The following is a 27,906-nucleotide window of genomic DNA, read 5'->3' as shown; positions in this document are numbered from 1 at the left end:
TCTAAGCACTTCTTAGTGGCCAAAGAAAATGTTTCAGGCTCATCTTAAACCTTCCCCACCACAGCCCCAGAATCAACCTTTACTCTGAAGATTGCTGATTCTTTGGAGTAGGGAATGGTATTAGACCCTAAGAATTGAGTACTACATATACTCATTGCTACTTCTATATGGTTTTGCTTCCAGGGCCCCACAGCATTCTTCCCTGATTCCCACTGTGTATTTTTATCTCCCTTTTCCCACAGTCACCACTGTTCTCCCAACTCATTTGCTGAGTCCTACAATGTATCTTAAGTAGTTTCACAATTGTTTCTCTCACTGTTTGCATTCCCCACCCCCCAACTTCCCAGCCCAAATACCGCCTATAGTATTTGACTCTATACCCTTGGGTTGGGTATAATTAAATAACTGTGTCCTAAAGTTAATTGGATTAGTCCCTTTTCCTGCCCCACCATAGTTGATGACTGTTTAATTCACTCCCTTGTTTAGATTTTAAGTGTCCGATGGGGCAAAGACCATTTCTTTAGATATATCTCATATAGAATCAAAATGTGTGGTATAAATCAAGAATATTAATGAGATTGTTTTGCCCTGCATTTAATATCTTTCGTTAGACACTCTCACTAAAACAAAGTGAAGTGTGCAGTTTTTTTCTTTCCTCTTCCTCTTTTTCCCCCTCTTTCTTTCCTTCCCTCCCTTCCTTCATTTCTCCTTTTTGCTTCCTTTTTTTGTTTTTTGTTTCTTTTTGATATGGAACATTTCTCTACCTTACTGCATTTTACTCAGAATAGTAGAGGCATTTCTCCTATTAATGACATACATGCATTCCTGAAAAATCTTTAATTCTGCAAAATTAAACCATAAAATTTTAGGGCTTATAAAGAAAATAGGGCTAGGAACAGATCATTTGAAACCAGTGACATTTTGTAAACAGAGCTGAGAAAATAGAAGTTGTCATAAAAACGAGCACTATTAACTCCCTCCTTGCATTTGCACCCAGCATCACATCAGTCTTAGCTTGAAACCCTGGTTTTCTTCCTTTGTTGTAGGTCCTTAAAGTCATCTACTTCTAATACAGACCAATTTCATCAAAGTTGAAAATCTGCTCTAGGATATTGATCTGTTGATTTTATTCTATTTTAAACACAGGGGAAAATATCTTTGCATTTCTTCGTTGGTATGCTCAGCCTCCTTTAACAGTGGAAAGTCTTGAAGCCACCAAATGAGACTTTCACTTTAATTGGGAGAAGACTTGCTCTTGGTTGAATCAAAACCTTCATGTACTGGGGAAAATTGTGTATGAACCAGCATAGCTTTCACATAAGACTGACGTCATTTTCCTATATATGAGCTAATTTACATTAAGAAATAGCTATTGTAGCAGAAAAGACTGTAATATTAATTTTGTTTTAGTATATAAAGATACTAAATACCTATTACTGAAGATTTAAGTAATATGGAAAAATATAAAGCATAAAGTGAAATTCCTTTCATTGCAAATAAATACTGTCATCATTTTGGTTCATATTCTTTATTATTTGACCTCTTTCTATGATGATGATGATAAGGATGACGATGAGGATGATGCTGTGTGTGTATAAAATTTCACATAAATGGGTTCATATTAAAAATGCAATTTTCCAACTTTTTTGGAGGAGAATCTCAAGCAATATAACGATATATTGTTCTTTTTAATGATTGCAGATTACTCTACTGTATGCATGTCATAATTTATTTACATATTTGTGAACATTTGGTTGTTTTCATTTTTTCACTGCAATAAAAATGGTATGTTGAATATCGTTGATCATATCTTTGCATCCATAAAATAAATTCCTGGAGTGGTGTTTCTGCATCAGAAGGTATATTCATGTAACATTTTGGTACATATTACCATATTAAATTTGTCAGTTTGATAGACTAAAGTAGTACTTTGTTTTTATTTATATTGATTTTATTATTAGTGTGTTTGTACATCTTTTTATGTCTTTATATACTGTCCATATTTTGTTTCAGTGAAATACCTTTCTCTCAAAATTATTGTCTTTTTTCTTATACTTTATAAGAATTGTGTAATTTTAGAGATACTGATATTATAATTTTTTATGTCCTGCTGATTGTCTTTTAACATTATTTATGGTATGTTTTGATTTTTATGTAGTGAAATCTATCAGTATTTATCTTTCATGTTTTCTGGATTTTGTAAAATGTTCAGAAAGACCTCTTTCTACCCTTAAAAGACTGTTGCCTTTATTTTCTCTTGTTATTTTTATATTTCTATTTATTACATATAATGTTTGGCTTATCTGGAATTTATTTTCTTATAATGAATTTAATAAATATCTAGCTTTGATTTTATTCTCCTTCCAAATTGTAGCTAATTGTTTCAACATAACTTGTTAATTCAACTTCTCTTCCCAATATGAATGTCGACTTTATCAAATACCAAGTTTCTTTGCGCCCTTGGGTCTTTTTGTGCATTTTGTATTGTATTAGTCATTTCTGCAAAACAAATAACCACCCAAATCAGTGGCTTAACACATTTATTATCTCACACAGTTTCCATGGATCATCAGAAATTTAGGAGCGGGTCAGCTTTGTAGTTCTGATTCAGTGTTTCTCTTAAGGTTGAAGTTAAGATTTCAACTCTAGCCACAGTTGATGAAATTTCACAGGTATCTTAAAACAGTGTCTTCCAATTTATAGGCAAGTATGCAGAAATCAAAACAAGGCATATAAGAGTGGAGAATAATCTAAATGAGATCGCAGTTCCATTTGCTGTAATACCACAGGCTCGTTATAATACCTGGACTTTTTGTGCAACAGACACTTGAGTCTGGGTAATGCTGTGCTCCATCTGCTTTTATCTCCAGGCCACTCAGGATGAGCTGCTTTATACTCTGGCCTCTTGGCTGTTCTATTTATTTATATATTTATTTTTACTTTTTCTTTTTTAACATATGCTGCTAACTTGGCCTTTGTTGCCATTTCAGCAAGTGTGCATGCATGTTTGTGGGTACACTTGCACTTATAAGCTAAAAGGACCATAAGCACTCATTCCAAGGGAGTTTATTTCTGTTGCTTTCACCTTAAATTGCATAAATCTTTTCCTCTGGCTTGCATCTTCAGTACTGACTCTGCACTGTTGCTGTTTGAACTCCCCATGGACTTGCAGCTGCCATACATGGGCTGTGGGCACCTTTCCAAATCTTCAAGCCATAGTCTGAATAGATTTTATTTTTGACAGACTAATTGGAGCCTTAATGTGCTTTCCTGATGGGGGAGCCTGTGTTTCTAATTTTTTTGTATTTATCATTTTGTAAAGAGTAGTAATAGTCCCTGGGCTAGCTATAAGTTTGCTGGTTAAATTGTATTTTTCAGTCCTACTTTTTTGTGACTTTCTCTTTCCATTTTTGTCCCTTGGGGTCTAGTGGCCTGATTCTTTTGAGAAGCCTTCCTACTCCTTACTCCCAACCCTGATCAAAGGAAAAGCCATGTTGTAAGTATGACTTGAGTTGATATGGCATTCTAGTAAAGGCATTTGCATTCTAGTATAGATAGCAATATATTTGAGGCATGAAGAGTAGGGATCAGGATAGGATTTTCATGAGACCCAGAAACCATGTTCTTTAAAAAAGTTTTTCAATTCCGCTTATTGTTGAGCCCTAATAAGACCCTTGTACCATTCTAAAATAAGACCGAAGTAGGGCTGCAGTGTAAGAGAAGTGAATATGAAGCAGTGTCAGATAGTAGGAAAAAATGTGAGGTAGCAAAGTAGATAAGGAACAGCAAAGCTTGGTACTTGGATGACCGTGCTTTGGAAACTGGCTGTCACATGGTTTCTAGTGATACTTTTCCATTACTCATGTTATTGCCTAATGCCCACTTTCTAATATTTTGTACCCTTCTTTTTTTAGGTTCTGAGTGTTACTACCTTTTTCTTATTTCCCCTATCTCACTTCTTCTAAGTTTTGATTTTTGAAAGGTTCTTGAGATTTTTTTTTTCTAAAAAGAGTGCTTTTTCCATTTATAGGCCTTCTTAATTTTTTTAAAGCCAATTTTGAACACAGCCCAAATGCCAAATAATGCAGTATTTTCTTCTTAGCTATTCAGTAAGTATTCCTGATGCTGGTAATATATCCTTTTACTAACCCACTGTATTATTACTTCAAGAAAAAATGGACTTATGGTGAAAAGTATCCTCTAATTGCTTTGCTTGGGTTATGGATAAGTAGCTGGTCTGTTTCATTTATATACATATTTAAGTCCTCACATTGTTAGCTTAAAATTCACGTTGCCTTTAGCTTCTACTTAATGATAGCAGTTATGCTTTTCTATTAAATTGGAAAAAAATAAAGTACAGTGTTGAAATCCAAATTTTGTGGTTATTAGGGTTTAAAGCTTACCAAGCTTCTCCGTGCTAATGGTTATCATTTAATAGGATTTTTCTCCTGTAAAAAGCTATTCACTGTCTTATTAATTTTTATGGTAAACTTTTTGCAGAATTTATTTCATTTTAATAACTGAAATTTGAGATTAGGCCTTGGTTGTAAATGCTGTTAAATGGTGTCTATTTGGAGTTACAGGATAAGGATAATTTATAGGATTAGGATGGCCTGAGCCAGTTCTTAGAGAGTCCTAGATTATTGTTAAAGGATTTTGCTTTATATGGTTTCCAAAAATACTGGAGCCATGAAGATGTCCATATTGATGAGGAAAAAAAAAAAAAGAAAACAACTAAAACAAGAAAAATTCGTATTCAGGCCGGACGCAGTGGCTCATGCCTGTAATCCCAGCACTTTGGGAGGCCGAGGCGGGCGGATCACAAGGTCAGGAAATTGAGACCATCCTGGCTAACATGGTGAAACCCTGTTTCTACTAAAAATACCAAAACAAAATTAGCCGGGCGTGGTGGTGGGCGCCTGTAGTCCCAGCTACTCTGGAGGCTGAGACAGGAGGATGGCGTGAACCCGGGAGGCGGAGCTTGCAGTGAGCTGACACCACTGCACTCCAGCCTGGGTGACAGAGCAAGACTCTGCCTCAAAAAAAAAAAAAAAATTAATATTCAGTCTTATGTCTCACTTGTCTTAATATAGGTCCTGTTCGCTGATCTGGCCAGCATTCTTGCTATCTCAGATGGGCTGTATGCATCTTCATTCTAATTATATTTTTCTTTTATCTGAGTGACTTAACAGATGTAATTTATTCTTTTATTTCCAAAGTTTTGAGGAAAAATTTTAAACATACAGAAACATTCTAAGAATTTTATAATGAACATTTTTAAACCCACCACCTACATTCTAATTCCTTTTTTTTTCTTTTTAGCCTTTCTCATCATGAATTTTTTTCCTGTAATTCCAGTTTTCTTCCTTTTTATTCTTTCCTCAATGAATATTATATAATCTATCCCTGTGGTCCAATTCTGGCACTAAGTCTTATATTTCCTTTTATTTTGCTTTTAAAAAAATCTCAAGACACCTAAGACAGTGCTGAATACATTCTTGTTAACTGGTTAATATCAGTACATATGATTGCCCCTAACTGGTCAAATCTTAGAACAGCATGAGGTTCAAAGCAGAACAAAATGATTATGTATTAGGTGTCTTATCACCTAGAAGATGGGCTTTATTGGTTTATTGTCTGTAATGGACATCCTTAATTCTGTTATCCTTTTTTGATTTGTTATTACTAGTCCTCTTCCTTAGACATAGCTAGTGCTTTATCTGAAGAAATATCCTTTATTTGATGATCTAGTCATTTTCTTTACACAAATGCTTATGTAAACAAAAGAAAACAAACACATATGAACATTTTGAACCTCTGGAAACCCTGCAAGGTTTCACAGATGAAAAATTTTGCTTACTGAGATAAAGTAATTTCCACACTGTTGAATCACGATTTGAACTGAGGTCTTGGATTCAAAGCCCACCAGGTTTTCACTGACTTTCCCTCTTTGCTGATGCTGCTTCTGAAGAGCACCTTGGATAGGATGGGGCCTGCTTTTCCACTGAATCAGAGGGAAGGGTGTGCATAAATGCATGATGTTTGCAAGTTGAAGGAGTCCTTACCAAAAATCAGGAAGCCTTTATGAATTTCTGTATCCTAGTTGTTTCCTGGTTGTATTTTCTCTCTACATCAGTTGTACTAGAGCATGACCTTCAAATTCATTTGTTTTTACATATTGCTGACTTAAGATTGAATACATCAGTTTTAACCTCTCTTCTCTTAGTATCCAGATGCTTATCAGTTTACCAACAGAAAGTCACAATTATCTCCATGAAAGAAGCAATTTTATAGGGCTTAGCTTCATCATTGTATCAGTGTTGACTTTTTTATTGGGTATCTTTGCCAAAAAATGACTAACTTTATGCCTTACATAATTACATTTCTCCTCCTTTATTATTTTTGGCTGGTTTTCCTCTTTCTTTCTTATTTCTTTTTTTGTGTATGTGCCATTTTGGTCTTTCCTGAGAATTTTCAAGTGAGAACTACTAGGTCAGACAAGACTAAAGATAAAGAATTTGATACTGGTATTCATGTTCTAAAGAGTACTAAGTGTCTGTTTATAAAATATTGTTTACTTATAATGTGAAAGGAGCAAGATAGTCCTGAAAAAATTTTTTAAATTGCTTTCTATAGATTACTTGCCAGGATCTGCTTCCAGTGGAACCAAAATTGTTGTAATTCATCAGTTTTTCTTTTTTATCCTTGTATTAGACCACATGTATCCAAATGTCTCCTGATTTTTCACATGCTTAGGCTCTGTTTGCCGAGCCAGGTTATTGGTACCAGGGGCTGCTAGAAAGATCCGTGGAGGATGATAGCTGGATTATTTATGGTCATATACTTGTTTCTTGTGACCTTGTCACAGGTCCCTCTGGGGAGGAAGTATGGCTTGGTCAATCTGGTGTCTTAACATAGTGTCTAGCACAAAGTAGGCACTTAATGTTGAAAGAATGAAAATGCAAACTCTACGTGGAGAAAGGACCATGCTGACCTTGTTCTATAACACATATTTATCTCTTAGCACAATTCCATGGTGCATGGTAGGTACACATATACTGACTGATTCAGGAATTGTGTGTCAGATTTGCTTGGATCCCTACTCTTGTGTTCTCTGATATTCATAGTTTGATGGTTTCCTCTTTATAAATAAAATCTTGATTTTGTGTAGGCTTATGATGATTGAAAGGTTACATTTTACATAAGATACTGCTTTATAACTTATTATTTTCCTCTTACCTTCAAACCTCCCACACAACTTTTAAATAGTTTTTATAATTAGGATGACTTGTGGTGGATTTATCCACCTGGTTGCCATGGATGAGTGATTGGTGACTTTGTACAAGCTAAAATATAAGCAGGCTTAAGAACAATTTTAGATGAATTAATGCATGATCAAGCCACAAGTTGTTACGGGAAGGAGAGAAATTTACAGTGTGGGTTGTTATGTGGTTGAGGTCAGCATCACCAAGAAACTCTCACTTGTAAGTGCTGTATGCCAGGTGGCAAATATGGTTTCACTTGATTCTGAAAGCTTATTTAAAAAATATTCTCAGTTTAAGCACTTCAACAATGAACTGGGTGTACTTACAATTTTAAGCAATAATTTTCTCAGGAGCAGTGTTTTGAACCTCAGTGACTTCCATAGTTACAAGAAGAATGAGGTAACTGATAAAAATTATTCCCTTTTTGCTGGGGGTGATTTTAGTACCTGATTGTTATTGCTTAGATGAAATTTTCCCAGAGGAAGTCGGGGCTAGGTACTTATTACTGTGGTGGTTTTAAACATTTAAGGTGTGAACAAAAGACCGGATCATCTGAATGATTCTTTGGCAATTTACATAGACAAGGAGGTGCATTAACTTTGCCAATATGTGAATGCCATAAAACTTTAAGAAAATTATTGGATATGACAACATAGAAATGTTGTGTTCATTTCTTCATGTATGAATGGCTTCTTTAGTATTTACATGATAGAAGCTTTTAACAGTGTTTTATTATTATGAAATATAGGTGCCCCTCACAATTCAGATAAAACAGGACTGAATTGAGCGTTTTCTTTTGAGCCTCTGAAAATAGCAACCACTTGTACCTTGTTTCCAGGGTAGCTTTTATTGCTCTTGCTTCCTTGGCTTGGAGCAGGATCAGCACATATCAGATTGAGACATCTCCCACATGCTCCTTTATAATCTCTCAGAAAAACACTTGCCCTGACTTTGTTGTGCAGGCGATGGTAGCAATGCTCTGGTCAGCAGTCAGGTTGTGGAAATGAGAAGTGAAAGAGCAACGGTGTTCAGGTCTTTATCTATATTTAAAATGTTCTTTTACATCATTGGCACTGGTTTCAGCTCCCTCACTGTTGGGTCTTTTAACCAGTTGTTTAAAAAAAGTTAATTCTCTTTTATTTTCAATACTTAAAAAAGTCTCAAACCATAAAGGCAACTCACTTTTTCTTAGTCAATAGTGATCTCAGTGTTTGTTTTAGTATCTGCCAAAGTTCTTAAGAAACAGTTAAAAGACAATAAAAAGTTATAGAAATAAAGAATTCTGGCTTAGAAAGAACCTTAGATATTAAATCTACCCCCCCCCCCTTTTTGGAGACAGGGTCTTGTTTGGTCACCTAGGCTGTAGTGTGGTGGCACAGTCATAGCTCACTGCAGTCTCAAACTCCTTAGCTCAAGCAGTCCTTCCACCTCAGCCTCCCAAGTAGATAGGACTACAGGTGTATGCTACCATGCCTTGCTAATTTTTAAATTTTTAGAGATGGAAGTCTTGCTGTGTTGCTCAGGCTGGCCTCGAACTCCTGACCTGAAGTGACCCTCTTGCTTGGCCTCCCAAATAAGCCCCTTCTTGTCACACATGAGGAAACAGGCCAGAAGTGACTTGTTCAAAGTCATGGAACTGGTTATAGACAGAGACAGATATCTACCTCAGGTCTCCTGAGTCTCATTACCATGCTCCTTTTTGGGGACCAGTGACTACATGGAGTAGAAGTAATGTAGGAGAGCATTACTGGAAAAGAAGAGGAGGCTCACAATTCAGGAAATGTGAATTTAATGCAACTTTTATTAATGTTTCCCCCTTAATTTACATTTTAATCATGCATACTACCTTATAACTAAGATAGCTGTGGCATCATATTTGGAAGCATTCCGTTTCTGTCCTGCAGGTATCCTCAGCTGTTTTGTGAAGGTCCATGCATGCAGGGCATGATGAACAGCAAAGAGAAGACATGTTTCCATTCTGTGCCTCTTAAAATAAAAGTAGCGAATATTTGACAGAACTTTCCAGAAGTTTCCAGAAATATAGATAGCCTGCACTGGCTACATAAACAACATTATAGTCAGTTAAATATATTGATTGCTGCATAAACAGGAAAGAATCTTGCTCAGTGTTATTTGTACTACTTAGAGCAGCAGAGATTGGGGTGAGAGTGTGGTTTGTTCATTGTGATGGGATAGAAATTAACACTAGTGTTACCCCGTATTATCTGTATATCATAGTGACTTCCTAGGGCAGATACCATCTTTCTGTTTTAGAAACCAGCAAAAATTCAAAGAAGAAAATAGTAATCGTCTCCATTCCTAGCATATAGAATTAACCACTGCTAGCATTTTGATGCTGCTTTCTTCCCTCTTTTGGTATACTTTAATAATTACACAAGTAACATATGAGTGGTTATTAAACAATTAAAACAATATAAATATTCAATTTTAAATACTTTTATGTGCACATATAAATGTATGTTGAAATGTAAGGTATTGTTTAGTGAGAGTTTTTGAATGGTACTATACTGTATGCTTAGCCATCTTTATATCCTCTGTACTTAGCATTGCTGCTTGATAGCAAATAAATGCTTACTGAATTAAAAATTCACGTAATAAATTCTGTATATACTCTATCCAAACTGAACTTATTTTAGTTTCTTAAACAGCTACATTTTATTTTGCCCCTAGGCCTTCATATATGTTACTGCTTTTACCTGAAATGCCGAGGTCTTGCCTCAAATGCCATTTTTTGGGGGTGGGGGTGGAGTGGGGCAGGCCTTCCTTGATCATTTTCTGATGAATAGACAGCCTTGCTTCATGCTGTCATGCTTCAGGGCCATCGTCCCTTTTAATGCTCATCCATTGGAAATAATTGTTGAAGGGCAGTCTTCCTTGGTATATTGTAACTCCTTGAGGGCAGGGAGCACATCTGCTTGTTTGCCAAAAAAAAAGTTTGAGGAATGGAATTATGAGCATAATTTTAGTATTAAATATTTTGACATGTAATTCAAGAGAACAACAGAATAGCAGTGCTTTGACAGGCTACCACGGCCCCTTGACACTTTCTTATCTCCTTCCTTCTCCCACCATTGTCCATCTATTTCCAGATCCTGTCAGTTTAACTTCCAAAATATATACATAAATCTGCCCATTTTAATCCATCTCCACTATCATGCTACTCCAACTATCATCTCTTGCCCTGGACCACTAGAATAATGTGGTTTCCCTATATCCATTTTTGTCCTATCCAGGCTTTCAGATAGATGATTATTTCAAAATGCAGATAGGATCATTCACCTCAATTTTAGAACATTTCAGTTACTTCTCATTTGCTGCAAATCCTTACGGGGCCTGTGAGGTCTTAACTGCTCTGGGATTTACATTGCCTCCTCCCATTCATGTCCCACTGTGCTCTTCCACTTCCTGTGTGCTTTATCTGCACCAGCCTCCCTTCAGTTGTCCATCACAACATGGCCACTCCTGACCCAGGGACTTTGGCATGTGACATGGCTGCTCTCTGGAATACCCTTGCCTACCCACAGTTCTTTATCTAGAGAAGTTCTCCTCATTTTTCAGTTCAGCCTCTTCCTCAAAGACCTTTCCTGACCTCTGTGTATCTCTCTTATAGCACTTATTACAACTCTTATGTATGTTTATGTGATTTTCAGATTGACCCTTATCACTCCATAGTTGACTGTAAAAACTTGATAAGATCAGGGACTGGGACTGGCCTTGTTCACTGTTTTATGATTCCCTGGTACCTAACACAGTGCTTGTGGAAGACCGTTAGTAAATACTGGTTGAAAGAATGAATGAGCCAGGTAGTAAGTGACTGGGTAGATGAGTGGATGGATGATTGAACTGCCTTAGTGGGGCAAAGAGAAAATCCACTGGAAGTCATTTTCTGATGGAACCACGTAGAGGTTACAAAGTAGGATCTGGTAGTGGTGTTCATTTTCTGTGCAATGTTTGTTCTGCAGATACTTTTTCTTAATCTAGTAAGGAGGTAAACTAAATGTGAGGAGACATTCAGGGTGATATTTCTTTGCTAACTTTTCCCCTGTTTTCATTTTCAGAAGGTAATAAACTTGAGGAGTGAGTAAACAGCTGACCTTTAAACACCCAAATATCAGTATTTTCCAGACTTGCTCTATTAAGGGAATCACCTGAAGTGTTTGATTTTGGAGGTCTGAGTCGGAGTGGGGATCTTCATTTTTAAGCATGTCAGTCAAGGCAAGCTTGGGGAACACTACCCTGGAATTATTATCTGGGAGTTGTATATGACTTAAACATAAGTGTAGACCACTTAAAATAACTTTGAAGCTATCAAACTGGTCAAAGAGGAATTGATTATTTACTGTTGAGCCGTTTCCTTTCTCTTCTACGTAGTAACTATTTTTTTTCCTATGTACATGGGAGCATTTTATAAATTATTTGTGGATTCAGATATTTTATAATCTGAAATCTTTGGATTTATTTATTTATTTATATATATTTTGGAAACAATAAAAAGAATAGATGTGGAGGTCATTCCGTTTTTAAATTTATTATAAGACTGATGTTTGTGTTGCTAAACCTGTGGTTAGAAGTGTTTTCAGAGAGACTGAGCTAATGAAATCTAATATTGAGGAAAATGCATCTTTTGCATCTTGAAGGTACTGATTTGATAAATATGTCAAGGTTATTCTTTTATATTAATGGAGGTAGTACATGATAAATGGGATCTTTGTAAAATAGTCCATTGGAAAAGTATATTAAATCTTTTGTAGAGATATATAAAATGAGTTAGTAAAGGTGTTTTGATTCTAGGCAAAAGACGTCATTGAAGAGAAATTAGTTTCACTCAAGGGCTCACATTAAAGCTGGGTATGAATGAATGAAACATGTCAAGCAGGTTTACTCTTTTAGGAATATAGTGGTTAAGACTGCTCGCAGAAACAATCAGTACCTTGGGCCAAACACGTTTCTTGAGTACCAGATGTGTGAACTCATAAGCAATTTAACTTAAGATTATAGTTGTTAGATGAGTTTGAATGAAAACATGTTTTTAAATTGCTTATATTCTAAAGTTAGTCTGAGTTACATTATTTTGATTAGGTATAAAAAGATTACTGGTTTGGGTGAATGTTATGTGCAATATATGTTGATAAAAGTATAAAAAACAAGAGTACTGGTCTTACTTACCTTGCATACATATAGCCCTCATTGATGTCAGTTACAGTAGGTAATTCAGAATTAGCCAATTTAGATTATCATTCATCTTTTTCCTGTGACATGTTAAAGATTTGGGAGGGAATTAGTGGTTGAGTATTTTTATTTTTATTTATTTTATGAGTGAACAGATAACATTGTGAGTTTTATTGTATACAACATAATGTTTTGAAGTACATGTACATTGTGGAATGGTTAAATCTAGCTAATTAATAAATGCATTACCTAACATATTTATCATTTTTGTGGTAAGAGCATATAACATCCACTCTGTTTACATTTTTCAAGAATACAATATCTTACCATTAACTGTACTCACCTTACTGAACAATAGATGTCCTGAAATGTATTCCTCCTAAATATAATTATATATCCTTTGAGCAACATCTCCCCAACCTCTCCTCCCCACTAACTACCCCACCTTCTGGTAACTACCCTTCTACTCTCTACTTTTATGAGTTTAACTATTTAGATTCTATATATGAGTGGTCGTGCAATATTGTCTTTCTGTGCCTGGGTTATTTTACTTAATGTCCTCCAGGTTTTTCCATGTTGTACCAGATGGCAGGATTTCATTCTTTTTTTATGGTGAAATAATATATATATATGTATCTCACATCTTAAAGTTCATTCATCCATTGATGGACACTTGGATTAATTCCATACCTTGGCTATTGTGAATAGTGCTGTGATAAACATAAGAGTGCAAATATCTCTTCAATATACTGATTTCAGTTCCTTTGGATATATTCCTAAGAATAGGATTGCAGAATCATGTGGTAGTTCTATTTTTAACTTTTTGAGGAACCTCCATACTCTTTTCTGTAATGGCCATATTAATTTACATTCCCATAAACAGATATAAGGGTTCCTTTTGCTCCACCTTTGCCAGCACTTGTTGCCTTTTGATAATGGCCATTCTAACTGGGGTGGAATGATATCCATGTGGTTTTGATTTGCATTTCCCTCATGACTGCGCATTCTTTTCATATACCTGTTGGCTATTTGTATGTCTTCTTTTGAGAAATTATTGTTAAGCTCTTGGGCATTTTTTAATTGGGTTGTCTTTTTGCTATTGAATTGTTGGAGTTCCTTATGCGTTTTTGGATATTAGCCTCTTGTCAGAAGTATAGTTTCCTTATATTTTCTTCCATTCTGTAGGTTGTCTCTTCATTACGTTGATTGTTTGCTGCACAGAAACTTTTTAGCTTGATGTAATCTCCATTGTCTGTTTTTGCTATGATTGACTGTGCTTTTGAAGTCTTATCCAAAAAAGTCTTGCCAAGACTCCAGCTTGGGTGACAGAGTGAGACCCTGTCTAAAAACAACAACGACAACAACAACACCAACACTGCCACCACAAACAGCGCAAGTGATTTATCTGTGATTTAACAGTCCAAATGTAAGCAATGCAGGACAGTATGGTGCCTCCATGGTGTTGCGGACCTAGGATCGTTCCATTTTGTTGCTTTGTCATCTTTACTTGAAGCTTTTATCTCATAGTTTGAGATGGCCACCCCTGCTCCTACCACCAAATTGTTAGTATTACAGTTATAAAATGGGGAAGAAAAGGGAGGGCATCCTCCTTTTCAGGGTGCAACCAAGAATTATATCCTTTCTACTCATGCTGTTGATCAAATCCAGTGACATGGTCACAATTAGCTGCAAGGGAGGCTGGAAAACAGTCTTTAGTTGGGCAGCCACATGTTCCACTGAAACTTTTATTACTGTAGAAGAGAACAGATATCAGGGGTATAAGGAGTAACTTCATCATAATAGCAACAGAAAAGAATTTACTTCTGGAATGCTTGTTTTTTTCTAACTTACTGTTTTGTGGGGAGAAATTTCCCACTGAAGTTAGCAAGTGGACTTGAGTTGTGGAAAAGCATTAACCTGAGTTCACGTATTTCACTTTAGGACTTTAAGTAAGTCAGATTTATTCTAATGGTTACAGGAATGAGTGTGTAATATATTAAGAGACAAGATTGCCCTTCGGTAACTCTTACTTTTCATGTACTGTTTTTATGTCTTTGTTTTTCACCTTTCTTGAGACTAATTTCATAGTTGTTTTCTTTGTATTTTTAGGTATGGCACAGTCACAAGGGTGGGTGAAAAGATACATCAAGGCCTTTTGTAAAGGCTTCTTTGTGGCGGTGCCTGTGGCAGTGACTTTCTTGGATCGGGTCGCCTGTGTGGCAAGAGTAGAAGGAGCATCGATGCAGGTGAAAATGATATAACTTCGTTCTTTAAAGCACATACTTCATTGTTTTTCAAGCACTAGAAATGAGAGTGCTAATTATTATTCCTATTCTGGGAACTGAAAGGTTATAAAAAGGCATTGAAATGAAATTTTACTTTACTGAATTTGTTCTTAAGGTCTTCTAATACAGTCGTATTATAATCAGAGGAGAGGTTAATAAAAGTAACTATCAGTTCTCTGGGTCTGTAGTTTAAATTTTTCTGAGAATTTTAAATGGAGATTCTTAAGAAATTATACTAAATGACACTGTTTTCTGTGAATATGGCTCTATTAGAATATCCTTTTAATGCCAAATTATTAGTGTAGTTGCAAGATGGGTTTGAGTCACAATCAGTTGCTCTCTTGTTATATAGGTATATGATTTCAGTTTGTAGAAATGTCTAGACCATTGATCCCAGATATTGTATTGTGTTCTTTAAGCATGTTGCTAATTGAAAAGATTAAGTGCAGTTTACAGTGGAAGAACTTTGGAGTGGAGATTTCCAAAAGTTTTATGCAAATAGTCTTCTGGAATAACTTAGAGAAAATTATGTTGTCCTAAAGTTGATGTCTAGAACCTAGCTTTTTTAGTAAGTTTAAGCAGTTAGGCAGAATTTGCATTTTGTTATAGGATTTGGTTTCCTGTATTATCAATATGTATTAAGTTCATGCGTTGTGGTAAATAGTTGTATAAAACAAATAACTAAAATGAATATATAAGCTTCTAAAAAATCAAAATTATACAGAGAATAACCAGCTTAATTTTTTTTCTTTTTGTTTCAGTTAGAACTAGTTAAGGGCATAGTTATCAGCTTTAAGGAGTTAGAATTAGTTTGCTTTATTTATTATAATTATGGTATTGAACTTCTCCCTGAGTTCTGGTAGTCAGATACAGAAGGTCAGGAAATCCTTTAGCTTCTTTGGGAAAAGCTACATTTTTAAAACAGGACTGCCTTTATATTCTACTTCCATCATTTGAGCATGGTTAGGGCCTTTTCTTGGGCAGAAGATTCTGCTCTCAACCGTGTCTTTCAGGTTCTCTCCATAGTGGATCACCAGCCCAAAGCAAACTGGTCACTTACTTTGAATGCCAAAATATCTTAATGTAGGGGTACAGTAAACATAGAAAGAAAGATTTATAGGCATATGGCTTTAAATACACTTTAATATGTTTAAGATAGAATGTATTTTACATTCGTTGCCTCTTTAATCTTGAATTCCTAGCAGCCTTGTCTTAGACTCAATCCTTAGGGAAACGTAGACTTTCTTTGCTGAGCTTTGGAGTCAGATTCTTCATTTCAGATTAAAACTGCCTTCTTCACAGCCACCCACATTCCTTTTTGGTCCCAAGGATCCCTTTGAATCCATTCACAAGCATGTATCTTTTGGTAACAAATAATCAGTTTAAGAATGATTTTTTTTCCCCCAATTTTGTTACTGCTGTCTTGCTATACAGCTATCACTATTCTAAGAAGGACTTTTCCAGAACACAAAATCTCCTTACTTTGGATCTGATGATATTCCAGAGGATCATGTGGCAATCATAATATCCCAATCTTCATATTTTTAGCCTAATATATTCCTACTGAACATCTATGTTCATGGCTTGTGCTGAGAGAGCAATTCATTGCAAAATATAAGATACAGGTCTTGCTCACAAGACCTTGACTGCCTTATGAAAGGACAAGGCTTATCCCCAGTGAAGAAGGCAGTGAAGAAAGTGTTAAATCATGTTATTTCTAAATGTCGGTTCATGGATTAAACCCAGGTTTGCATTAGATATATTTGAATTTGCAGAGGTATTAGGATTTCTTGCAGTATTCCTAGGCCCTATCCCTAAGAAGTCAAATGTATTATGTTAGAATTTGTTTGGTATATTGTATAGTTTCCTTGGCTACTGGTAATAGGAAAATAGCTTGGTATAAAGGGGATTTATTGGAAGGCTTATTATATACACACAAGGAAGGCACGAGTGAGACAGTTGTCAGGGACAACTAGAGCCAGGACTTGGATGCCGCTGGAGTGCTCCGTCTTTTTTAAGTTCTTCTCTGCATCTTGGCTTAGTTCTCTCAGACCAGTTTTCTCTGCATAGCAGGGTACATGGCTGCTGGCAGCTCGCATGCCCAGTTTCTTCACCGCCTGAGAGAGATTGCTCCTACTGCCTTGATTTCAGTGTGGAATATCTTGGGGAAGGACTGTGATGTATTCAGCTTGGGTCACATGCCCTTATCTATACAACTATACAGATCAACTTTGGCCACCAGAATGGGGTACCGTGATTGGTCCAGCTTTGAACAAGTACACACCCCAAGCCTGTGGCTAGGCCAAGTGATCTGTAAGAAAATGACAGCATCTCTTTGAATCACATTGTTCTGTGGGAATTGGGGATTGGAGTACAGGTGACATTTCCTAGAGGAAAGAGGATGCTATTTTCAGAATCAAAGTAGAATGGAATTCTAGGAAGAAAGGAAAATATGTTTTTACAATTGGATCTATATTTCATGAATTTGAGACCAACTCTAGGTATAATAGATAATTTAATTTACAGTTTCACTAGATGCCAGTAAATCATACTTTAAATTCTTTAAGAGCAGAAATTATAATAATGAGATTTAGGGATTAACTAATTCAACATATTTGAAGACATCTTTGCTACTATACAGCTTTGATCAACTAAACACGTTTATGTCATGGGGTTCAACAGAATTTTTGACAATTGGGATAAATTCTTCTCTTTAAATTTCTCTAATGACTCAAGGACTGAAATAGTTGGCATGGTGTGGAGATCTCTGGAAGTCACTGAGCATCCTGCAAGGAACACAGCTGTTTTTCTTTACTCTGGGAAAAGCCACTCTTGAAGGTCACTCAGCAACTGGTAGACACATTATTTAAGAAATATCCAAGGATCGAAAGATTAAATCTCATTAAAGGGAGGTGTAATACTAGTCTTTTGGGTTTATTGAATAAATACTGTTTTGGTTACACTGGAAATTCACTTTGAGTAACAAATTTTGCTGTAAGAATTGTTTTTCGGTCTTTCAAAAATTCTGTTGGTTTGTGATTAGGGGAAGCATGTTTTTAAGATTCCCTCTATGAGAAATACTTATTTACTTTTTAAACACTACTCAGTGGTTCTTTTTTTAAGTTAGGATTTTCAGTATTAATTTGCAATTCATTAAGTATTTGACTAGAAAGATAAGGGTGATCAAACATGGGAAGTATCAGCTAATTAAAGGCAAGCCATAAATAAAAAATAAAGTTTCTAATGATGCATTGGTAAATTCAATGGAAAATAGGATTTAGTTTATAAAATATTTGATTTTTATAAAGCCGTATAGCTGCATTCATTTCATTATATGAGTTGTCCCTTTTGCAATGCTCGACACAATAAATGCTGGCACAAATTGTTGGTTAATGATTATTCATACTGACCTATTCCCCTCATGCACATGAATCACTTTTACTGGTTGCTGAAAGGTTACCTATGAAAGTAGATGTACTTCTTTTTTTAAAAAAGAAGCACCACATTACACGACATTAATTTAATTCAGGAAATGAAGACTGATATTGCATACAGTTGAAACTACAGAGGGAATTTATGTAGGTGGAATGTAATTATTCAAATTAGAACTTTAATCGCTTACAGAGGCTTTTAGCGTAAAAGGGTGCCCTAGGAATAGTTTAATGACCTCATGCCAAAGTTTTAGATTTTATTTGAGTGAGAATTCCTGCAGTGGGGTCACTGGTCCTGATAAAAGGTATATGCTTTCCACATTTAAAACTAAGATTTAAGACTTTAAAAAGTAAGTAAAATAAATAATTTTGTGTCATTATCTTTTTTTTTTTTTGCAATTGATACATAATTTTTACATAGTGTACCATTTTCCTTTTTTCATTTGCATGGCCAGAGGGCAAAAATACTTGAAAACACTGCTACACAATACTGTATCTCTAGGTCAGACCTTAGAGATAATGTATGCAGAATATATTAGGAAATTACAGAATATGAAGGAAAATGCAGTTTAATTAGCATTGAGGTCTTTGTTCATCAATAACATACATTTATGGGTTTTAAATTGTCTTGACTTTCAGCTACCTGTGATTATCTTGTTTCCTGCTGAGTTTGAAATTAAAAGTATCATCAAAAAGCAAGCTCTCTTTCAATCTATGTTTTTTTTAAAAAATTTTAACCTACAGTCAGCTTAATAATACTCAACAGTCATTATTGCTTGTAACTTATTTTGAACTCTGAGAAGCTGGATACAGACTCTTAAGAAAAGAGATACATTGTGATTTATATACCAGCATTTAAGATAGAGTTATGGAGTTTTATGTTACCTGGTAAATTTGCACTTCCAAGATACTGGGCACAAGCTGGCACACATTTCCTCCTGTGCTGACTTCTCTGTGTCGTCACTCACCTTGGTCTGCTGGGGCTGACGTCAAAGGAAGTCAGGATTTAATGTTGGAATGCTTTATTGGCTTACTTGCGTGCTTTCTGCCCAAATTACTTTTGGCTCAGAAATCTCACCTGATGTTTTACCCCTTAGGATGAGTTATGAGTTTTTACATAGTTCTGTAACCTGTCATTAATAGAGACTTTGTATTTATAGCAACAAACGTGTGTTCCTGAAACAGTTGGTGAGTGATAAATTTGTAATGTCCCTTTGTGGATTTTTCTTCACTTCCCATGATAGAATAACTATGTGTTTCTGTTTTATATAGCCAGGGTTATATCTGTTATTTAAATACCAACTTTATTACACTTTTTAAAAACTTGTTGTAAATTTAGATTTACACAAAAGTTGCAAGAGTAGTGCGTAGAACTCCTATGGCTTCTCTACCCAGATACACCAGTTTCAATATTTTAGTATATTTATTTTATTATCTTTTTTCCCTCCCTCTTCTCTCTCTCTTCCTCCTCCTCCCCCTCCTCTTCCTCTCCCTCTGTATTTATGCGTGTATGAATATATACCCTCAAAAAATCTTATTAAACCATCTGAAAGTAGGTTGCATACATCATGCCCCTTTAATTCTTGATACTCTTGTACATTCTTCCTGAGTCACGATGCTTGCTGATTGGTATATTAATGCTTTTCTTCAGCTGATTTTAAAATTTAACACTTTATTCATAGTAGTATAGAGCTTTAAATACATTAAGAAATGACTCAAGTTCTAAATTTTACATTTGAAACAACTGAGGCTCAGACAGTTGAGGTACTTTACGTAAGCTCAGACAATCATTGAATTTTGGAACTCTGGCTTGAACCAACTCTGACAGTGCTGTCCATTTCACTAAATAATAACTAATAAAAGTTGTGCCTTGTCACTGTTTTGGTGCCTGTTTATACTATTCCTTCTCACAGTGATGTTTTATTCCATTTTATTTTGGTTTATGGAATGATGTACTTAGTAAGTTATTTAATTTTGGTATGATTCTGTAGTACATTTAGGACTTAAATATAGAAATTAAGCTTTATGTTATAATGGGGGAAAAAGATTTTAAACTGTGCCGCTCAGGTTGATGGAAGATACGTTTCTCTTATAAAAAGTCTAAAGATTTTAAAGTTTATAAGAAGGGATTAGACTATCTGGAAATATAGCAGATGAAACATCTTGAAATATTCCCAGTGCAAAACTCTTAAAAAATTAAAAACAAAACATTAAAAACTTTAAAAATGTGTAACTAACTTGCAGGGAAGCAAGGGAAATTCTCAGAGACCACAATAAGGGGGAATACATTTCCAGGGCAGTAAGTATACATTAAAGTCAGTAGCTGTCACATGGATATTTGTCAATTCCTGGTCATTTAGAGCTTTTGGTTTCAATGGCCACATGGGGATCAGAAGACAAGGCCATAGGCTCATAGAAGGCAGGAAATTGGAACAGAAATTCTTAATAAAGTCAGGACCATAGAAGAGACACATCTTTAGGAAATGGGTAGACTAAAGCAAAAATCTGTTCTGTAAGAAAAATTGTCTAGGCTCTGAGAGAGAAAGCCCTGATGTGGAATTGAGGTTTGAATTCACATTCACTGCACCTGAAAAACCCTAAACTGAGATATTAATTTACAGTGGCCTGGGTTTAGAGCAGCCTCAGGCACCAAATTCCCTGGGCACATGCAGCTTGCAACCAGGCCTTATAGAATCCCAAAGATAAAGTTTGATGAACATTATATCCCAGTAAAAATATTGCATGAGAAAATGAGCTCTGTAAGTGAGAGTCAGAAGCAACCATTAGCCGAACTAGACTTTAAAGGCTTTAGAAATTGGAGCTATCAGATACTAAATGTAGTTGAAAGAAAGAGAGGAGAATGAAAATAGCAGAAAGCAACAAGAGATTATCTAAAATGGTCAAGCAAAGCACTACTTATATCACTTGTGCTTTGATACATTGTTTTTTGGGGTGATAATGGTATTTACTGCTGTTATGTTAAAAAAAACCCTTATCCTCATAGTATGAATATTATAAAATTTGCAGTGAAATGCATAATAGCTGAGATGTACTTTAAAATAATATGGCAAGAATAAAAGTAGAAGGGTTACAGATGAAACAAGATTGGCTATGAATCCATAATTGTTGGCTCTAGGTGATGGATTACATGGTGGTTCATTATGCCAGTCCATCTACTTTTTAAAACACATTTTTATTGAGGTATAATTTATATACCATTGAATTTACCCATTGTAAGTGATGTAATGATGTTTTCCAGCTTTACTGAGGTAAACTGGCAACAATTACATATATTTAAAGTATACATGATATATATATATTTTTATTATACTTTAAGTTTTAGGGTACATGTGCACAATGTGCAGGTTTGTTACATATGTATACATGTGCCATGTTGGTGTGCCACACCCATTAACTCGTCATTTACATTAGGTATATCTCCTAATGCTATCCCTCCCCCATCCCCCAACCCCACCACAGGCCCCGGTGTGCGATGTTGCCCATTCTGTGTCCAAGTGTTCTCATTGTTCAGTTCCCACCTGTGAGTGAGAACAGTATACATGATATTTTGATATGTGTAGACATTATGAAATGATTACCACAAACTAATTAACATACCCTTTACTTCATATAGTTACCTTCTTTTTGGTGGTGAGAACATTTAAGATCTACTCTCTTAGTAAAATTCGAGTGTATAATACAGTATTATTAGCTATAGTCACCTTGCTGTACATTAGACTTCCAGAAATTATTAATCCTACATAACTGAAACTTTGTATACTGTGACCAACATCTTCTCATTTTCCCTACTTCTCAGCTCTTTGCAACCACTATTCTACTCTCTGCTTCTGTGAGTCCAGCTTTTTTTGATTACCCATATAAGTGAGATCATGCAGTATTTGTCTTTCTGTGCCTGGCTTATTTCATTTAACATAATGTTCTCTAGGTTCATCCACACTGTCACAAATAACAAGATTTCCTTCTTTTTAAAAGCTGAATAATATTTCATAGTATATATACCACTGTGTGTGTGTATATATACACCTGCAGAAGAATATCCACACGCACTCATATATATACAGAAACCCACACCCACACTGACTACACTTTCTTTATCCCTTCATCCATTTATGAGCATTTAGGTTACTTCCATATCTTGGCTGTTTTGAATAATTCTGCAATGAAATGGGAGTGAAGATATTTCTTTGACTTACTGATTTCATTTCCTTTGGATACATATCCAGAAGTGAGAGTGGTAGATCATCTGGTAGTTCTGTTTTCAATTCTTTGAGATATATCCCTATTTTTCATAATGGTTGAACTAATTTACATTCCTACCAATAGAGCACAAGGGTTCTCTTTTCTGCATATTCTCACCAACATTTATCTCTTGAATTTCTGATAATAGCCTTCCTAACAGGTATGAGGTGACATCTCATTGCACATTTAATTTAATTTCCATTTCCCTGATAATTAGTGATATTGAATATTTTTTATATGCTTCTGGGCCATTTGTATGTCTTGAGAATTCTCTATACAGGTCTTTTTCCTATTTTAAAATCAAGTTGTTTTCTTGCTATAGAGTTGTTTGTGTACCTTATATTTTATACATTAACCCCTTATTAGATATATGGTTTGCAAATATTTTCTTCCATTCCATAGATTGTCTCTTTACCATGTTGATTGTTTCCTTCTCTCTTCAGAAACTTTTCAGTTTGATAGGAGCTCAGCTGTCTATTTTTGCTTTGTTGCTTGTGCTTTTGGGGTCGTATCTAACAAATCATTGCTCAGATCAGTGTCATGGAGCTTTTCTCCCTATGTTTTCTTCTAGTAGTTTTACAGTTTCAGGTAGTTTTACAGTTTCAGGCATCATCTTTAAAAATCCATTGAGAGTTGATTTTTGTATATGGTGTGAGATAAGGGTCTGATTTTATTCTTCTTCATGTGGATATTCAGTTTTCCAAGCACCATTTATTGAAGAACCTATTCTTTCCTCATTGTATGTTCTTGGCATCTTTGTTGAAAATTGATTTTTCATAAATGTGTACATTTATTTCTGGATTCTCTATTCTATTACATTGGTCTATATGTCTGTTTTTATGCTAGTACCATACTGTTTTGATTACTATAATTTTGCATTTGAGTTAAGTAGTGTGATGCCTCCAGCTTTGTTCTTCTTGCTTAAGATTGTTTGGCTATTCAGGGTCTTTTGTGGTTCCATATGAATTTAGGATTGTGTTGTGTATTTCTGCGAAAAATGACATCAGAGTTTTAAAGATAGTGCAATTGAATCTGTAGAACGCTTTGGGATGACTTGAATTTTTTATTAAAAATTATGTTTTATATAATAAAATATCAATAAATAGTATTAAAAGTAAACTTATGGAGTCATGCAATCATTACCATAACCCGGTTTTAAAATATTTTCATCACCTGAGAAAGGAACCTTATGCTTGTTTGAAGTTAATCCTCACTCCCATCTCTTTCCTTAGGCAACTGCTGATCTGATTTATAGATTTGCCTTTTCTGAACCTTTCCTGTAAATAGAACCATACTAATGTGGTTTTTCCTGACTGGCTCTTTTACTTACTAGATTTTTTTGAGGTTTAGCCATGTTGTACTATGTATTAGCATTTTGTGTCTGTTTATTGCAAAAAGTATTCTCTGTATGAATATACCACATTTTGTTTCTCCACTCACCAGATGATAAATGTTTGGGTTTTGATGTTTTCATTATCGTGAGTAATGCTGCTATAGATATTTGTGTACAGTTACGTGTATATACATGATTTCATTTCTCTTGGGCAGATACGTAATAGTGGGGTTGCTGAGTGGCATGGTACATTTATGTTTAACTTCTAAAGAAATTGCTCAACTAACTGGGGTGGGGAAAGTGGGCTGCTAACTGGCACCACTTGCACTCTCATTCCACCTCTTTGACACCTGATACGGGGAAGTGAAGGGCCTACTTGCCCCATCTCCTAATTGCTGAGTGGGGTTAGAAGTCCAGCTCCTTGCTGGGCCCTGCTGACACCATGGTGTTGGGGGATGGGGTGGGGTAGTTTTTCCTTTGATGTTTGACTGGATTAGGATGGTTATTAGCAAAAATGTTTCTGTTCTGCTAGGTCTTCCTTTTCCTGGTCCTTTGGCTAGAGAGAGTAGGCTTTTCTTAAGGCCTTTTTTTTTTTTTTTGTTCAACAGAGGGAGACTCTGTTGCCCAGGCTGGAGTGCAGTGGCGCGATCTCCGCTCACTGCAACCTCTGCTTCCTGGGCTCAAGACATTCTTGTGCCTCAGCCCCCTGAGTAGCTGGGATTACAGGCTTGCACCACCATGCCTGGCTAATTTTATTTGGTATTTTTGGTAGAGATGGGGTTTCACCATGTTGCCCAGGCTGGTCTCAAACTCCTGAGCTCAAGCGATCTGCCCGTTTCAGCCTCCCAAAGTGCTGGATTACAGGTGTTGGCCACCACGTCTTCAGGCCCTTTTTTTTGCTTGGCCTGTTGGTAGCTACAGGTTGCAGGATTCCCTAGTGCCTGATCTAGGATATATGAGAAGCAAAAAGAAAGTCCAGGGGAGCGATGGTGTCATTTCTCAAGTCCTGTGGTTCCTAGCCTCTAGTTTATCTTCTTTCCACCTTGCAGATCCTCCTATATTTTTGTGTGTGGTGTTATGTTCAGGGTGTTTTAGTTGTAAGAGGGATGACTAATGATGAATGGATGATTTCTTGTCCTGTTTTTTAATCTTTCCTGATATCAGAGGTTACTGAGGTCTGGCCAGTGGAAAATGGGAGGAAGTGAAGTGCCATTTTTAGGCCTGGCCCATGAAAAATCTTTGTGATCCTCCATGCTCTCTCCTCTGTCTGCTGGCTGAAGGCAGATGTTTTGTATTCTTTTATGAGTTGGTTAGTTAGGTATGGCCACTAGAGCAGACAGAGGAGAGGCTCAGGAAAACAAAGTTTATTAGACTTACAGGTCCTAGAGACAGGAAGGTAAAGCACGGTATGTGGGGCCACATGGGAAAGACACCAGAGTGGTCAGGAAGCAGATGACAATAGCAGCTAGGCCAAAGCCTTTTTGGGGTTTCTGTGCAGGCAAGGCAAGGCAAGGCAGGGCAGAATGAACAGTTTAGGACTGGCTAGTTTGAATAATTTTGGCAGATTCTAAGCTGTAGGGGTGGTCCCTGGTTGCCTGGTACCTGGCCTTGGGAAGATGAAGGCAGAGGAAATTGTCTCCAGGGTTATGCTGGCTGGAGGAGGTATGGTTCTGGATTGGTTAGTTTGTATATGAAAGGCATGCTTCTGGTTGAGCTCTTGCTAGCTGGAAGAATTGGCTAGGTCTGGCAGAGGCAGTGTCTCCCCAGCTAGGAATGTTTTTTTTAACGTGTCAAAACATCATAATATACAGGATATCTATACTGATTTTGATATCTGTATCAATATCTATATCTATATTTATGTATATGTATGTATATAATACAATACAGCAGAGGATCCAGTTGAGGACACGATGCCGCAGGGGATGGTAGATGTACAAGCTCGAAAAAACTGGGTTTCTGAATGATTGTGTGGAGTCAGTCCACTCACTATTGTGTTATACCACTGAGCTTTTGAAATTCTTTTTACAAGCATTTAGCCTATTCTGACTGTATAACACGACTCATTATTATACCTTTTCTCCTCTGCTTTTTCTGAAGTTCCCTTTAAGTCTAAACTCAAGCTCTATTTTCTTCATGTAACTTTCTTTAATTCTGTCATTCACTTATTAGAAATCCTACAGCATTGTAAGTTTAACTCATGATTATAAATCCTTTTGTACTGCCCTCTAATTATTAATTTCATGGGTTAATAATAACTCTACTCTGTAAGTTTCTAAAAGAAAGGGGACCATAATCCTCTCACCTGCTAGTTCAGAGGGATGCTGGAATAAATGCATATGAAATTTCTTCTTTGAAGCATTGATATGCCTGAATAATTAAACCCTACAGAAATATGATAAAATGAAATTATGATCATTAAAATTTTTTTTTTCTTAGACTTTGAGGGTGTTTCTGGTGAACTATTCTCCTAAAAAGTTTTTAGCTTCTTGACAAATTCATCATATTCTTTATGGCAGAGATTTTCAAACCTTTTTGCTCATGACTCATATTAAGTAATATATTTTGCACTATACACACATACATGCAACTGGAACAAAAGTTTCATGTAACAATACTTAAATTGTAATTACTATCATTATGTGCAATGCCCTCTGATATTTTCTGTTCTGGTCATAACCTATTAAATTGATGATTCTGACTCACTCATTGGTTGTGACCTGTAGTTTGCAAAATGCTGCTTTATTGCTGGAGGGAAGCTTACAAGGGTGAGACAGCTCAAATTGAGCTATAACTAAGGGAGTGGAGCATGTTAACTTTTGATTCTGAAATTTTAAATGTGGGCTTGTCATAAGCACTTCAAGCAATAAGTGCAACACGAAGGATAAGGAGCCCCATAGTCTGTCCCTTGTTTGAGAAAACCCTTTTGTAGCTGCTGTGGTCCTTGGGCCTTTTTTATTACATAATCTGGGGTACTTATTAATGAAGATTAATGAGCCCCATTTCAGACCTATGAAATTAGAATCGTTTTGTGAGGACCTTGGAATCTGCATTAACAAACTCTGTAAATACTAAAGTTTGAGAACCATTTTCTTAAGGAGAGCTCCATGTCTTGGGTGAGGGCAAATTGTTGGGGGATTTGCTAGACATGGTAATTGCTTTTGCTTGGAAAATCCTGATTGCCTTTGTTTACTAAACTTTTGAATTCTTAGTCTTATAACTTTTAAAAAATTTGTTTTATTTCCCATCTCTTTGTCTGTTAAATTATTTATCATATATTTGTGCTAATTTTAGCTTATTGTTTCTAATATTGAGAGTGGCAGGAAGCAGCCAAATGCCTAGGCAGATAGGGTGGGTCCCCAGTGAAACCCCCCTTCCAAGCCCAAGACAGTTTAAAGCCTGAAAGCCAAGCTACAAGTTACATCCTCAGACTGGATTGAGAACTTGCCTATTTGGCATGATTTCCTCTGATAGATCCCCACCATTCACCTATTTCACATATACCTACCCTTTCCTAATTGGTTTTCTACTCTGTCGTGCCCACCTTTGAGTGGTGTCTTTGCTTTAACATTTTTTGCATACTCACAAACCAATCAACACACTCTCCCCATTCTGAGTATATAAAAGGCCCTGGACCCAGCCACACTGGGGACTTCCCTGCCTTCAGATAGGGGAACCATACCCCTCCCACCCTCTGTGCCCTCTCTTGGCTGAAAGCTTTCCTTTTTCGCCTGTTAAATTCTACTTTACTGACTCTCTGGTGTCTGCATGCCTAATTCTTCCTGGTTGTGCGACAAGAACTCGGACCTACCTGAGCTAAGGAGTAGAAAGACCACAACAATATTATACCAATGGGTATATCATTTTATAATTATGTTCTTTTTTTAATTTTTAAGTTTTAATTAAACATTTTTCTATTTTATGAACTTTATTTTTATTTCTTCGTAAACTTTTTTAATTTTATTTTTTAAAATGCCTGTTTTATACTTTTTAGCTTGTCATTTGCTTTTAAGACTATTTAGTTATCTTTAAAATTTTTATTTTTTTGTCAGTGAATTTTTTTCTTTCTTTTTAAAATATAAACTATCTTTTATTTCTGTAGCTTTTAAAATGATCAACAGAAAGCACAGTCACAAGATTGT

General features: G+C 35.9%; 1 protein-coding gene across 28 annotated transcripts in view, besides 2 other annotated features; it reads left to right on the top strand.

The window, feature by feature from the left end:
• Positions 1–27,906, top strand: part of IMMP2L (inner mitochondrial membrane peptidase subunit 2) — an 899,849-nt gene that overhangs the window by 26,479 nt on the left and 845,464 nt on the right. For 22 of the 28 annotated variants that reach the window (XR_007060162.1, NM_001350963.2, NM_001244606.2 and 19 more), the window contains one exon: positions 14,565–14,701. Coding sequence is in view for 27 of the 28 variants with exons in the window: in NM_001350963.2 (NP_001337892.1) it covers positions 14,567–14,701 (135 nt within the window). In the remaining variant the exon portion in view is untranslated. Of the gene's footprint in view, positions 1–3,428; positions 3,497–14,564; positions 14,702–27,906 lie in introns of all 28 variants that reach the window. The other 6 variants (NM_001350959.2, XM_047420925.1, XM_047420930.1 and 3 more) reach the window with 1 other exon arrangement.
• Positions 8,364–8,413: an enhancer, noted in NCBI's record as "active region_26507". NCBI's record gives its function as "activates an Ori minimal core promoter by ATAC-STARR-seq in GM12878 lymphoblastoid cells {active_cell/tissue: GM12878}" and the evidence as "EXISTENCE:reporter gene assay evidence [ECO:0000049][PMID:35858748]".
• Positions 8,734–8,803: an enhancer, noted in NCBI's record as "active region_26506". NCBI's record gives its function as "activates an Ori minimal core promoter by ATAC-STARR-seq in GM12878 lymphoblastoid cells {active_cell/tissue: GM12878}" and the evidence as "EXISTENCE:reporter gene assay evidence [ECO:0000049][PMID:35858748]".

Source organism: Homo sapiens, chromosome 7 (genome assembly GCF_000001405.40).
Source record: "Homo sapiens chromosome 7, GRCh38.p14 Primary Assembly".
Classification (NCBI taxonomy): Eukaryota; Metazoa; Chordata; class Mammalia; order Primates; family Hominidae; genus Homo; species Homo sapiens.
Note: the sequence above shows the minus strand (reverse complement) of the source record. Positions and strands in the feature narration are given on the sequence as shown.